Source organism: Homo sapiens, chromosome 4 (genome assembly GCF_000001405.40).
Source record: "Homo sapiens chromosome 4, GRCh38.p14 Primary Assembly".
NCBI classification, from domain to species: Eukaryota; Metazoa; Chordata; class Mammalia; order Primates; family Hominidae; genus Homo; species Homo sapiens.
In genome coordinates this window covers 104,405,539-104,419,745 of record NC_000004.12, presented here as the reverse complement: position 1 = coordinate 104,419,745, position 14,207 = coordinate 104,405,539, and the positions used below count along the sequence as shown (strand labels likewise).

Genomic DNA, 14,207 nt, shown 5'->3' with positions numbered 1-14,207 from the left:
AATTAAGTAAGAAATGATTTTTGGAGGTAAGTGGGTGGCCCAGACTTAATGAAGAAGTACTGAAAATTGTGAGACAAAATTCTATTCTCATTATAATTGAACAACTGACCAATGAGGTGTTTATGAGATTGGGGAAAAATGTATACACATTTAGTAACACTGATTGGAAACGAATCTGCAAGTCCAATGGCTACTGGCCACAGAAATGTGATTTCGAAGCATTCTGAAGGATGACCACCTTGTGTATCTTATTAAAACAGCTATACAGAATTATTGTATGTCACTTTACTTAGGTGGGGTAACTAATACTTTATACAAAGTTTGGACTCCTTTTGCATAACTGCGATGTCACCGAACTAATGCCATACTATGGTTGTCATTGAACTGACAAATAGATATAGGTTGCATGTCATTACTATTATGTATTAAGTATGCCTTTTGAATTTTTATAATTGAACATTGCTATGGGTTGAATATATTAAATATAAATATGTTGACTATTTTAATAGGGCAGATTTCATATTTTTTTGCCAAAATCAAATAGGATAATTTTTATACATTTACTCTTAATTGAATCTAAACAAATCCTGTTTTCTTCTTATTCTAACATTATACAAAAATGTATAATATTATTGGATCTAATTCTCATCATTTGAAATTGAGCAATTATTCTTTCATTTACACATTTTCGAAGAAGGTATCATCATGTGATGGTGTAGCATACATTGTTATACCCTATTGTGAATACTTAAAGCAATATATCTTTATTTTGAAATTTTCAATGTAAAAAGGGAGATTTTTTATTTTAATTTTTTATAATAGTAATAATGAAAGCTAACATTAACTGAGTACCAGGTTCTATGATAAAATATTTATATGTTATTTTATTTAGTCTATACATTGCACTGTGTGGTAATGTAATATGAATTTAAGGAAACTATGTCATAACTAAATTTGATAATTTACCCAAGCTCATAAAGAACTTGTCATTAAAGATGCCAGGATTCAAAGGAGGTCTGTAAATGTCACAGTTTTGTGCATTATGTTGTTCTGATTCTATAAAAATTAGGAAATTTCATAAATCACCCATTTTTTACTAGCCATTAAAATGATTTTTTCTCAGAAGTAAACAGAATTTTATCGTTGATTGAATGAAAGCTTTTAGCCAATCTGTTTCCTTGGATGATTCATGCATTTACTTATTCCAGAAGTACTGAGCACCAATTGTCTAGGTAATGTCACACTGTTCTAGGTACTGGCATGACTCACATGTAAGTGAACAGAATGAAAAGTTCCTGCTTTCATGTGTTAATATTCTACAACAGGCATAATACATACATAGTAACAAGTAACCAAATTAAAAATATTTTTTCGAAGAATGATAAATATTATGGAGGAAATCAAGATGATGTTAAAAAAGGTATGGGAAGGGTCTATTTTAGATAGGATGATCAATGAAGAGTTATGACAGATGGCACTAGGGGAACAATCTGAATGATTAGGAGTCTACCACCAAAGAGTCTTGTGAAGAACAAAAACAAGCGAATTGAATAGCATGCTTTGAGTGATAAAAGGAGAGAATTTTATGACCCTGGGAGCTAAAGGTTGAAATGGATAATATATTATCTTTAAACCGTAGTAGCAACTGTGGATTTTAAATTATGAACCATGGGAAGCCTCTGAAGGATTTCATGGAAGATAATGTATAAACTGTATTTTGTTAATATTTTGGGGAGCTTTCTTTATTGCTATATGGAAAATGGATCGTTGGGAGTAAAAACATTAGTAACTGAAAGCTACATAGATTTTGTACACCTGAATACATAGATATTATATTATATATTTATTATGCTATGCCCTAATGTTATAGTATATTATAATCACAGAATATAGACAGTAGAGTTTTATGAGATAATAGAGCGTAGTTGTTAAGGTCACCAATTCTGGAGCCAAACAAATGTGTAGAATCTTGACTCTATCACTTTAAAGTTGTGTAATCTTGAAACTTTTATTAGCCTCTTTGAATCTGTTTCTTCATTTGTGAAATCAGAATACTTATAGATTCTATTGACCTAACCTCACTGGATTGTTATGAGGTGTAGCCGCATTTGTTAAAGGCATAGAACAGCTCTTGGAATCTTGAAAATAGTAGAAAAATGTTTGTTAACTAACATTAGTTAAATACAATGTAAATACACAGCTTCTCACCACTAGTGAACTGGAGAAACCCCTTTGAGAGATCTGAGATGTGGGTTTCTGTTCTGGTGCCTGTGGATTTCTCCTTTCCTTGAGCTTGCTGAATTATACGGGCCTCTTCTGAGTGCCCCATGCTGATATGTACTAGAATGCCCTTTTGTTATAACAGGTTCCTCATTCCTATTTCTTTGCAGATACATTTGTTCAAGATTCCTATTAAATGCCCAGTGTTTTTCAGAGGCATTACTATGGAGGATTTTCTTCCTTCCAATGTGCTCTGGAAAATTCTGGCTGCCAGCTTCCCTCATTACCCAGAAATGGCTGTGTGGCATTGCAGCTTTGCTGTGTCTGGGTGCAGACTGAGCACTCTGCCTTCCTTTGTGTTCTGCTGCCTCTTGTGTTCTCTCCTGCCATAGGGAGGGATTTGCAGTCCTGGGTTGGTGGGGAGACTACCTCTCTGAGCAGACATGTCTGGCTATAACAAACTTGCCTTTTGTCAGGTACTATTTAAGACTTACTATGACCAAAGAATGATTGCTAACTTTTTCATGTCATGACATTACAGGAAATGATCATATTTATAGAGCACAGTGAAAAAAAAATGGGTACAAAGGTCCAAGGTCTGAGGTGACTCAACTGGGGCTCTGGCTAAACCAGGTCCCTCTTTTCACCTTAAAGCTGAATGGATCACAGTTGTAAATCCATTCACAGCACACCTGTGTAGCCAGCACAAGGGAAGGTGAATTCTGTTCTACAGGATAAAATTCAAATACCCTGGAATTTGATCTTTGTCTACCCTCCCAGGTTAAGTCCTTGACTGCTCATCTTTATGGCCTTTGAAGCCTTAGCATTTCAATTACCTCTGGGCCTTTGCTCCTTTAATTTCTTTAACTACCATGCCCCCAACTCTTTATGAGTTGGCACTTATCCTTTGTGTCTCTGTGCATGTACCACCTTTTCCAGAAATTGTCATGGAAGCCTTTTTTTCACTCTGATATGATCAAGCAGGTTAGATGAATTTATCTCACACTTTGCAGCACCCTATCTATTTATTTGTCATAGCTCTTAACACAATGTTTATAAATAACTGAATCCCCTAGTAAATGAATACATTCTTTAGTGGGTAATCTTAATTATTTTTGAACGCCTGACAAATTAACACAGTAATTAGTACATAAGAAGTGTTTGAATTATATATGTGTAATGGAAACTTGGATGCCTTGACTCTTTTTAGTTTTACTAATTATCTTCCTAAGTGAAGGAGCACAGGGATTTTCTATTAAACCACTCCTTATCCATATAGACTACCTCTTACATTTGTTACTATTTTAGAAGTAAAGATGCAGAGGGGTTGATGATGTGCCCCAGGTCATGAAGAATAGACAGAGTGGGACCTGGGCCCCATAAATTATGCACTCCAATCTTGCATATTGGAGGATCTTCAAAACCTCAGTTTTAATGATTTTATACACACAGTTTATAAAACTAACTTTTAAATTGCATTAAAACATAACTTTCTATTGGAAAATAAAAGGAAACCAACAGAAATAATAAGCATTTTCATATATTTTTCCTTGTTTTTTACTTTTAGTATAATATTTAGAATAACTGAAATAATGATAATCCTTTGGTGTTGAATAATATTTAAACAGTGGGAAATTACTTTTGTAATACTACTAATCATTTTTACTTTCAAAATTCACAATCCCAATAATTTTAAGAAATCTTTTCTGATAATAACATGTAAAAATTGATTTATTAAATTTTAAAAATAAGTATTTTAAAGTGATTGTTTTAGTCAAGGCATGTTCTTTTTAATTTTGTAACTTAGTGAAACATTAGTCAAGATTTCTCTAATCCTTTCCTTTCCTCAAACCTACTTATAGGTACCAAAATAATAATTATTTTCTAAAGATAGGTATTTCATATCTGAAGTCCAGTCTTAAAACATTTATGAAATTACCTTTCAGACTTAGAAAATGTGTAACATTTATATTATCTTTAGGGTTTAGGAGGCAATAGTGATATCAGTGTAATTTAAAATTGGTTTGAAAATAAATTTGGCTTAGATGGAAATATTGAATTAGATATCTTTTTTTGTTTATTTTATGGCCAATAAATAAATGTTATTTTTTGTTTGAAAACCATATATAAATATATTGAAATATTTTTAATATTTTAAGTAAACATCATTCTACTTTAAACATAAATAACATATTTATATTTATATACCTTTTTACTTATTGGTAATTAAGGGATTCCATAAAATGTTAGTCATATTGTAAATGATTGCTTGTTAAGATATGTATTGATAAAATTACAAAATATAAATGGAATTGTTTCAAATAATTTCAACAAATCAAAACACAATAACTAAATATATTTTCATTTTTCTCCATTCTTTTGCTTTACTTATACTCTTGAAATAAAAATAATCACACACACCAAATTGACCTGTTTGGCGATTAAATCAGGTTGGAAGGTAAAGCATTTGATACTCACTAAATAAAGATATGAAATGGACTTCATATGGTGTGAATATGTATCAAGAAAACATGAACTAAAATAATGTGGTCAGTAATCTTCTAGTTATCAACATGCACTATCTGAGTGAATAACAATGCAGCAGTACTCAAGTATTTGCTTAAAGCTTCCACTTTAATGTGCTTGCAAATAAGTTGGCTTCTCTCTTTCTTCCACACTCCATATCCAATCCCTCGTAGAATTCTGTCAGCTTACCTTGAAAAAATTATCTTGAGTCCAACTACTTTTCACTGTCTCTTCATGACTGTCACCCTAAACCAATCTGCTTTCACCTGTGGCCTGGACTATTTCAGCAGCCCAGAACTAGTCCCCATCTTTCTATCTTTTCATACAGATGGGTCCGTAGAGCACCCAGAGTGGCCCTTTCAAAGCAGAAGTCAGCTCCTGTTATTTCTCTGTGTTTATCACAGGCCTCCCTCCTTGCTCGAAGTAGAATCTAAAATGTTGGCAATGGTCCACATGGCCCTGCTCGATCTACCTTCTACTTACCACCTCTCTGAACTCATCTTCCTCCTCTCTTCCCCTTGCTCCTTTTGTTCAAATATCTCTCCTCCTCAGTGTAGCTTTTATCAAATGCCTAACTTAATTTTAAAAATGTCATAATTCCAACTAGGAACGTTATTCCCTTTCCCTGCTTTATTTTGCTCTATAGCCCATATCATATCCCGGTCTACAGTATCATTTGTTTTACTTACTCATTTTGCTTATTTTCTGTTTCCTACCACAGAATACAGACATTATGAAGACAGGCTTTTGGTCTGTTTTATACTAGCCTGGAACAAAGGAAGAGCTCAATACATATTTGTTGAGTAAATGAATGGATGAGTAAATGTAACAGAAAAGAAGCCTTCAGAAAATAAAAATGCCTGACAGAACTCAGTGATGCTTGTTGAAGAAATGAGTTTAGTGAAAGTCCTTTTGAAAGTATGCTTTGTGGAGAGCTCCCTATGAGAGGTTTCAATGATTCTTAAATAATTACTATTTTTAAAAACTGCTTATTTGAAATGAAAGTTTATTTGTTTCCAGTCTTTCTGTAAATATGTATTTATTATAGCTTAAATCAGGTTATATCAGAAAAATGGAAATGTGATTAATAATATGGAAAATATGTTGTTGTTGTTTTTTTGGAGAAAACCATATTGTAGGGCTCCAATTTCCTGATCTGCTGATGGAATCTGCTTTTTCTTGGATCTAGAAAAAAAGAAACTGGCACACTTGCCTCCCTGCTGCTGCCATGTTAAGCATGCTCACTTCACAAGCTCCAGCAGATGAAAGTGTAATTGTGTGGAAGGTGAATTGATTGCAATTAACCTCAGGACTTACCCTCAGGCTGGGGTATTCTGCCTCCTCTTCTAGGAATGTGCCACCAGGGCCATAATACATAGCTGATGAATACATATATCATACAGTGAAACACATATATTATGGGATAAAGTACATAAATCATGTAGAAAAACATGCATTATACTGAGATGATCAAATTATAAATGAAGCACATAAATCATAAGATTACACTGTTGAATTGTATCAGGAAACATAAATTATATAGTGAAATCCCAGGGTCACTGGAGGGTTCAACAAATAATGAAATGAGCTCCTATAACTTAAGAAAAAGTGGAGAATCTCAGCAAAAATTCATTGCTTATTATGTTGAATATTCTAGTCAATTCAATTTTATCTCCTATACCTCTTATACCCAAGGATTCAAGGCTTCACAGTATGGGGGAGGGGAACATAAAAAAACTACAAATGAAAGATTTAATCATGATGTACTATACATTTAAAAATGGAATCTTTCAAATATAATGAACATCTGTAACTAAGTTCTCAAGTCAAAGTTGGAAAGGATGGCAGTTCTCAAGTCAGCTACAAACATCAGCAGGGCAATGTCTCATTCTAAAATGAAGAATGTCTTGAATCTCAACGAGAAGATCCTAAAAAAAATGATACATAAACTTAAGATTTACTTCTTCTGAATATAGATAAGCATTTGAAATTTGGGCTGAGAAGTTGCATTAAATAATGAAAAAAAAACGTTTATATTATGCACCTAGAAAGACTTTGCTTGCCTTCCTTTGAGAATTTTTTTTTACATTTGATTTTGCTTTTTTCCTTTTACTTCTCCTACCTTTGTTCAACTCATGTACTAGTAGGATTGAAGAGAAGCTAAATAGAGAAGATAATTCTTCAATTTAGTTTTGCTTTTCAAAATTAAGTTCCAAGTTGGTAGAGGCCATTCTGCATGACTTCAAGAGAAACCCAGGCTAAAACAGTCTTTCACACACAACACAGAACAATGATACAAATCAGATCAATCCTGCAAAGTCTCTCAGTGCAATGTTTGTCCATGTGAATTATGTTCTCACTAAAGCAAGAGCCTGGAATTCACATCTATCCCCAGCTCTGGTGAGTTAGGGTTATGGTCAAAGCTTGGTGTACTGAGAGATTCCTTAGTCATAAACAAAGTGTTTGACCCATTCTATTCCTCAGGGCAATAGAGAGCCAGGGCTAACTGAATTTATACAGTGGGAATTGATAGTTTATTGCTGACCCTGGAGGGGCAGGGGCACTGACTCACATCCTATTTCTGGATTTTCTTGGCATTTGTTACTGCAGATAAAGGTAGATTATGTCAAGATGTGCTGCTAGTCCTAGAATACAATTGTGTCAAAATGCAAGTGCTAAATTTTATTTGAAGGGAGGCAATAAATTGGCACCCCCAAATGCTCCCTGCCTTCCCTAAACATCATATTTCAGTTTCTCGTTGCTACTCATATTTAGTCCTGGTTAATCCATTGGAAAGCATGTGAAAAGATACATCCTGTTATTTGTGCATAAGTGATTGTAGCTAAAACTGTAGAGCTGGAGATGCATAAAACTTCATTGTTTTAAATAGCCAGTCAAATACAAAATACAATTAAATAATTAAATATTGTGTCGTATTTAACCCATACAAATATTTAGTTTATTTGTCAATTCAGTTTTGGCCTGAATTTTGGCCTGAACAAAAACTGGTTTGTTGCTAAAATATCCGTAAATGGTTAAACCTGCTCAATATAAGTATAATCATTTTACTCTATGATCTATGTGTTTCATTAGTTGAGGTACACATTTTGCTATAATAAATGTGCTTCAGTAAATGATCTATGCATTTCTTTCTGAAATGTATGTGTTTCACTAGAAAAGGTATGTGTTCATCAACTATGAATAATGTTCCTGATGGCACCACATTATATTACTTGGCTGGTATCAGCACAGCATTACACATCCATTCCCTCATGGCCATGAGCACTGCATCTGCAGGAAGACACACATCAGACCCTGTCACTCTCAGGTGTTGATGCACATGTGCGTAAACTCTGCAGTCTTGGGAAACACAAATGGGAGGGAGCGGATGGAGTTATTTTGTAGGTGAATATGTTTGTTAAATGAATGGGAAGCAGGGATTTTTCTAGTCCTACCCCTTTTGCACCCAGGGGAGGAAAAACAATATAGCAAAACACAATTAAGATCATATCGTTTATCATGGACAAACTCCCTTCCATTTACTTCAATTAAACATTTGTTGGAATAAAAGATGAAATAACATAACTTCAAGTGAAACACTAAGAATATTATTTTTAAATTTTTGTGATTTGTATATTAAAAGGCCACCAATTTCCTGATTTCAGTGAATTGGTATACAAAATGATGAAGAGAAATTGTTTTTATAAAGTAAAATTAATTTAAAAATTAAACATATTACTGCTTCTGTAGAAGATGTTGTTGATTGCTCATTGCTGAGAAGTTTATGTTAGTTTAAAATTTAAAGGGAAAAGAAGTGTTTTTTTAAGGTATATCAAAACACACAGTGATTTGTCTCTCAATATGTTAAAATTCAAGCACAGCAATTACCCAATTGAACCCAGAGCCAATTGTTCTTGGCCCCAAGCTATCTAAAAGCAATAACTAACAAATAAATTTTTATCCACAAAAATTAGTTTTTTAAGAAAAAACTTAAAAAGACAATGACTTTTTTTATGTACAGTGGTCAATGTTCTGAAATGTGACTGATTCTTAGAAATAACCATTAATTTCAGAATTGTAACTGCTCTGCATTTTCCTTCATCATCCCGAAGAGCCTGAAATTCAATGCATGGGGTATTTGTTAATATTGTCATGAACAGAAGGAATGAATTGCAATGTGTTCTTCATGTAATAAATATGTTAATTATGACAGAATCATTTATTTTTCTCAGATTAAAACTAATGCTTTGTATATGAACTTTCTATTTACAAATCATTTTTCAATAAATACTGAACAGTCTTTTACATATGACATCAAATGATTCATTATACATGTCTCCATTTAGTGACCTAATTTTCTCTCTACTTTACATTTATCATTGCAGATATTTCTTTCATTTATTCCTGCCTTTTACATTTTTTATTTACTGAAATGCCTGAAGCCTGGGGATTATTTTTTTACTATTATGTGAATTAGGAATTTCTATAGCCTTTATCAGCTGTCGAGTAATTCATCTTATATTTGAGACATACTCTAAATAGGAACAGTCTATATTAAATAGCTCTGAAATAATTAACTCTTTGCTTATAAAGAATTGCTACAATTTTTCTAGAGTGGAATGTGTTGATAATACTTTTGTTTACATTTTTTGAAGAATGCAAACATGCACATATGAAAAAGAAGGTTCTGGACAAAAGCTATCTTCTTGATAATATTACTTTCAGCATTAAAAGTGGCTGAATTCAATCTATGTGTAAAACTGGGTCAGCCACTAATATGTCAGGAAACCCAGAAGCCATTAAATAAATAAAAAATGTTGGTTTAGACATGGGGATCAGGCATTGTTCATTTTTTAAATTCGTGTTATACTAAGTAATTTTAGTGATCTTGTGAAGTGAGTATTAGTAATATTATAATAACTTTGCCTGCTATTTTGGATATCACTAATACATGAACTATTTTTGGAGGCCTATAAATTATTGCTTGAAAACAGAAGTGGAAAATCCACTAAATATGTTTTTAGAAACTCTCACAGGGAGATTTTGAAGTCCAGATAGAATTTCCCCTAACCAAGTCAGATTAATATCCTTAATTGTATATTGCATCTTACTAAGAAAGTTCTCAAAGGCTCAAATCAGCCATATGTGAATAGTTCATAGGCAAGTTTTTTTGAGACTTGAAATGATCTAACTTATAAACATTTAACCAATTTAATTCTACCCTACATGTAATTGTGTATTTAAGAAAAATCTTTTTGGTAAAGATTCCTGAAGATCCATATTGAGAATTAACCTGAACTGAAAGCATCCCACTTTGTGGATAATGAAAATAACATATACTCACACTTTAAAAGATACAGTATTTTATTCATAGGTTTCCACTATTATACTTTTCTGTACACATAGATCCGTAATATATTTATAATGCTTAAAGGTTATTTAAAGAATAGGGTAATTTTTTCCTTTCATCCGTATTCATTCTGATTAACCTATTTTACTGGTACTATGAGGACTTATATGATCTTTACTTAATCTCAAATGTGATCTGAATTGGTGTTCTCTGAACAAAATCTAGCTCTTGCATTGTGTGTAGCCGGGATGCTTCCAGCTCTGGGTAGCAAGGCTTCTTTCCTGCAGCTTCTACAATACTTTGAGGGCTATGTTGTAAGCTTAGCTACAGAAAAATTCTCCAAACACATGAAGAAAGAAAATTTGAATATTAAATACAACTTGAATGTTTTTAGAAGAATTTATGCAGAGGCTAATACATTTAAAAGTAGGGTTAAAATCAGGTTATATTAGGCCAAACACACCTTAAATTGTTAAACAGTTTCGCAGTGACATTTTGGCCATCAGCTGCAGCCATTATCTAGGGATAAATCAATTTGCAGCAGCTGTGGACAGCTATTTGAGTGTGGAGCAGAGCAGCTTAACTGTAGAAGCATGCTAAAAGTTAAAAGGCCAGAGTCCTGCTGATTACATACAACGAATTTTTTAAAGGCAAAACCACAACACAACACTGCTGGGCTTAGAAGACATCAAGCCACTCTTGTTAATTCATTTAACCTAATAGCTGATTTGACATACTTTCTTTTCTGTCTCCCTTGTTCAGGATGGTGCATATTATAGAAACTTGTCTAAATCTTTTTTTTTTCTTGCAAATAATTCTCTATAGAGGTTCAGTTAGTGCTTCTGGCAATGGCAGAACTAGCACTTTTATGGTCTTTTAATCTGTAAAAAAGATTGTCCTTGGTTTCTTTAAAAGGTCAATATCAGGTACAGAGTTTTCTTCAATTGTAAGCAGAATGGTGCTGTACTAGATAGTCTTGCAGCGTATTAAAATAAAGGGGGTGCACAATTTGCCACAGTTATATGTTAGCTTGTTTATAACCTAGAAATTACAATGTATCTTCCTTTGTTTTTCTCACTTGACATAGTAGTGTTTTTTTCAAGTTTGAGATGTAGATTTAGAAGGTTAAAAAAATTGCTGTTTTGGGTTTTAAGTTCATACATTGGTATATCTAGAAAATGGATGGCAGAGAGGGAAGAAGGGTAAACAGCTTTCAGAAGTAAACTGGAAATTATATACAAGTTCAAGTGTGTATCAATTGTATTTCATTTAATAGATTTACTTTTCACAATGTAGTACATCAACTACAACCTCAAATGCTTGAGAAACAACAGAATAATGGTGTATATTCCATAGAGTGATGTAATCTAATAAAAAACAGTTATTGTTGTTGAAATCAGAATAAATGAATTCTGTCAAGGTGAGGAAAATATTCATTGCAAGTGAATCATTGTCATTGAAGACATGAATCTGTGGTGGTTTGAAGTTTGTATTGGAATAACTTCAACAGTCATTACTCAAGTAAAAGTTATATATGAAATATTTAGTGCCCCACCCAAATGTTAAGTGTGATAATTAAATTAGTGGTAAGAAAATATAATCAGCATTTTCCAGAGGAAAGAAAAAACTTGTTTATATGCGCTAAATATGCTTACTGGAAATTGTGACTTTACTGATTTTAAATCCCAATGTTAAATAAAAAATAAAACGACATATAAATATCATAGCATCAGCTTCTATACAGTTATGTCATATGGTCATTAAATTTTTAATTTTTTAAACATTTTAAGTTAAACTAGTAAAAATTATTTGCATATGGATTATTTGGTGATTCTGCATGGACATTTTTGTGGGAACATACCAGAATCTGAGAGAGACTGGAATTAAGGGCTATCATCCTTGAATTATAAGCAAATAATGAAAAGCATATAGCTTCATTTTTAAAACTGGGAGTAAAGTATTATGGCTTTACCAATGCATATCATTAGCAAATAAGGAACAGCAAAGACTGTAATGGTAAATAACCACCATTATTGGTAAATAATCACAATCCTTGGCTAATGGCTCTCTTTTCAAATCTATAGAAATATCATTGATGCAAATTGTGGTAAAATCCTGAACTCAAAATCCTGAACAACTTCCTGGGCAAACACTTTTCTTATTGTGAGTGGAGAATGGAGGAACACTTCCACTGAGGCTCTTGTTATTTATTTGTTCTTCAAATAAAGAATACACCTTAATAATAATAACTAACATCCATCAGCACCTAACCCAGTGCCTGACAGTGTTCAATATAAATCTCACATGCATGTTTGATCAACATTCCTAGTTTGCAAATCAGGACTGAGTCTCTGAGACGTTGAATGCCTTACCCGTGGTCATAGAATAAATAAGTAGTATTTTGAAGACTGCTAGCTGTCCCCCAATATCATTCTCCCCTTCTCCTTTTAATAATAGAAACCTGAAGTTTAAATTAGGCATGTGACTCACACCCCAGTTACGTACCACATTTTCTATCTTCTCTTGCAGTTAATTACAGCCACACTACTACATTTTGTCAATAGGTTTGAAGTAAAGTATGCTGTTTGCAGCTTCTAGGTCCTATATTAAAAGGGACTGGATCTTACTGGCCACATGTCTCAAAGCTGTGTGCTGAGTGTGACAAAGAGATATGATGCAAGGATCCTGAGACCCCAACACTGCCTAATTATAATGCCAGACCAGAAAACTTCCCCAGACTTCTACAGGAAAGAGAAATAAACTGTCTGCAGTGTTCTGTTTTTATGTTTTTAAAGTGTTTAAACTGTTTTTATGTTCTGTATTTAGGGTGTATTCTCAAGGTCTCTCTCTCTTCCTCTCTCTCCCCCAAACAGGTATTCCAACTAATAGTGTGAGAGCTGAATTTCAAATTCAAATCGGGTTTAAGAGCCAAAGCTTTTAAACACTGTAATACGTCCAATTAAAAGTGTTGTTTGGTAGGATTATCAAGATTATTTCTGATTTAGGAATTTTTCCAGTTAGTAATTTATATCCATAGAACTGTTAGATCAACTAACTTTGGCAAATAAAAACAACAAATAGAAGATAAATATTGGCCGGTTACAGTGGCTCACGCCTGTAATCCCAGCACTTTGGGAGGCCGAGGTGGGCAGATCACAAGGTCAGGAGATAGAGACCATCCTGGCTAACATCGTGAAACCCTGTTTCTACTAAAAATACAAAAAAATTAGCCGGGCATGGTGGTGGGCACCTGTACTCCCAGCTACTTGGGAGGCTGAGGCAGGAGAATGATGTGAACCCGGGAGGTGGAGCTTGCAGTGAGCCAAGATCGTGCCACTGCACTCCAGCCTGGGCAACAGAACAAGACTCCGTCTCAAAAATAAATAAATAAATATATATATAAATGAATAAATATTGTAGGAGAAAGTATAGGCTCTACTAATTTTTTTTTCTGAACTAATTTTCCTTAATTACTTAACTTGCTAGAAATATGCAAAATATCACATGGTTAGCTGATCTGTTTCATCGCCTTCACTTTATACATTTGGTTAATATTTATTCCTTCAAATATCTCTGTATTGTTTCCTGATTGTGGGTGTCCATCTATTTCTTTTTTTTTTTTTAATAATTTCTAATTTCTTAGAGTTCTTATACTGTTCCTTGCCCTGCCTCATCAATATTAGATAACTTCAAGCTCTCAAATGACTCCAAGAATTTACAAATCACTCCTATAAATATGCTCAATTAATCTAAAGTAGTTGGCAAGTAAAACTTTAAATAAAAAATGTACATCCAAAAATATGTGGAGACTTCCAGTTTCTGATTTAAGATAGAAGTAATTTGGAAGTAGTCACTCCCATCATCACAAGAGAAATGGCAAACAAGCTGAAAATCAATAAATCTTAGGTCCATCAGAGAATTGAGGTCACAGAGAAAACTGCTATCTCAAAACTGGAGAAACAGGTGAATTCAGAGAATCACAGCTTACTGGGAACAGAAGCCACTTCTGGGTTCTAATAGTAACAGTTAAAGGGTAATTGACTACTTGCCAGAGATTGTGTGTGTATTGATTTGAGAAATTAAAAGTCAAAACCCAAAACAAACAAACAAA

At 33.3% G+C, this 14,207-nt stretch overlaps 1 long non-coding RNA gene across 1 annotated transcript; it reads left to right on the top strand.

The window, feature by feature from the left end:
- Positions 1–3,124: 3,124 nt before the first annotated feature.
- On the top strand, positions 3,125–5,615 carry LOC124900744 (uncharacterized). The gene is made up of 2 exons (XR_007058209.1): positions 3,125–3,204; positions 5,468–5,615. It is a non-coding gene; the product is annotated as an uncharacterized LOC124900744 (long non-coding RNA).
- The last annotated feature ends 8,592 nt before the right edge of the window (positions 5,616–14,207 follow it).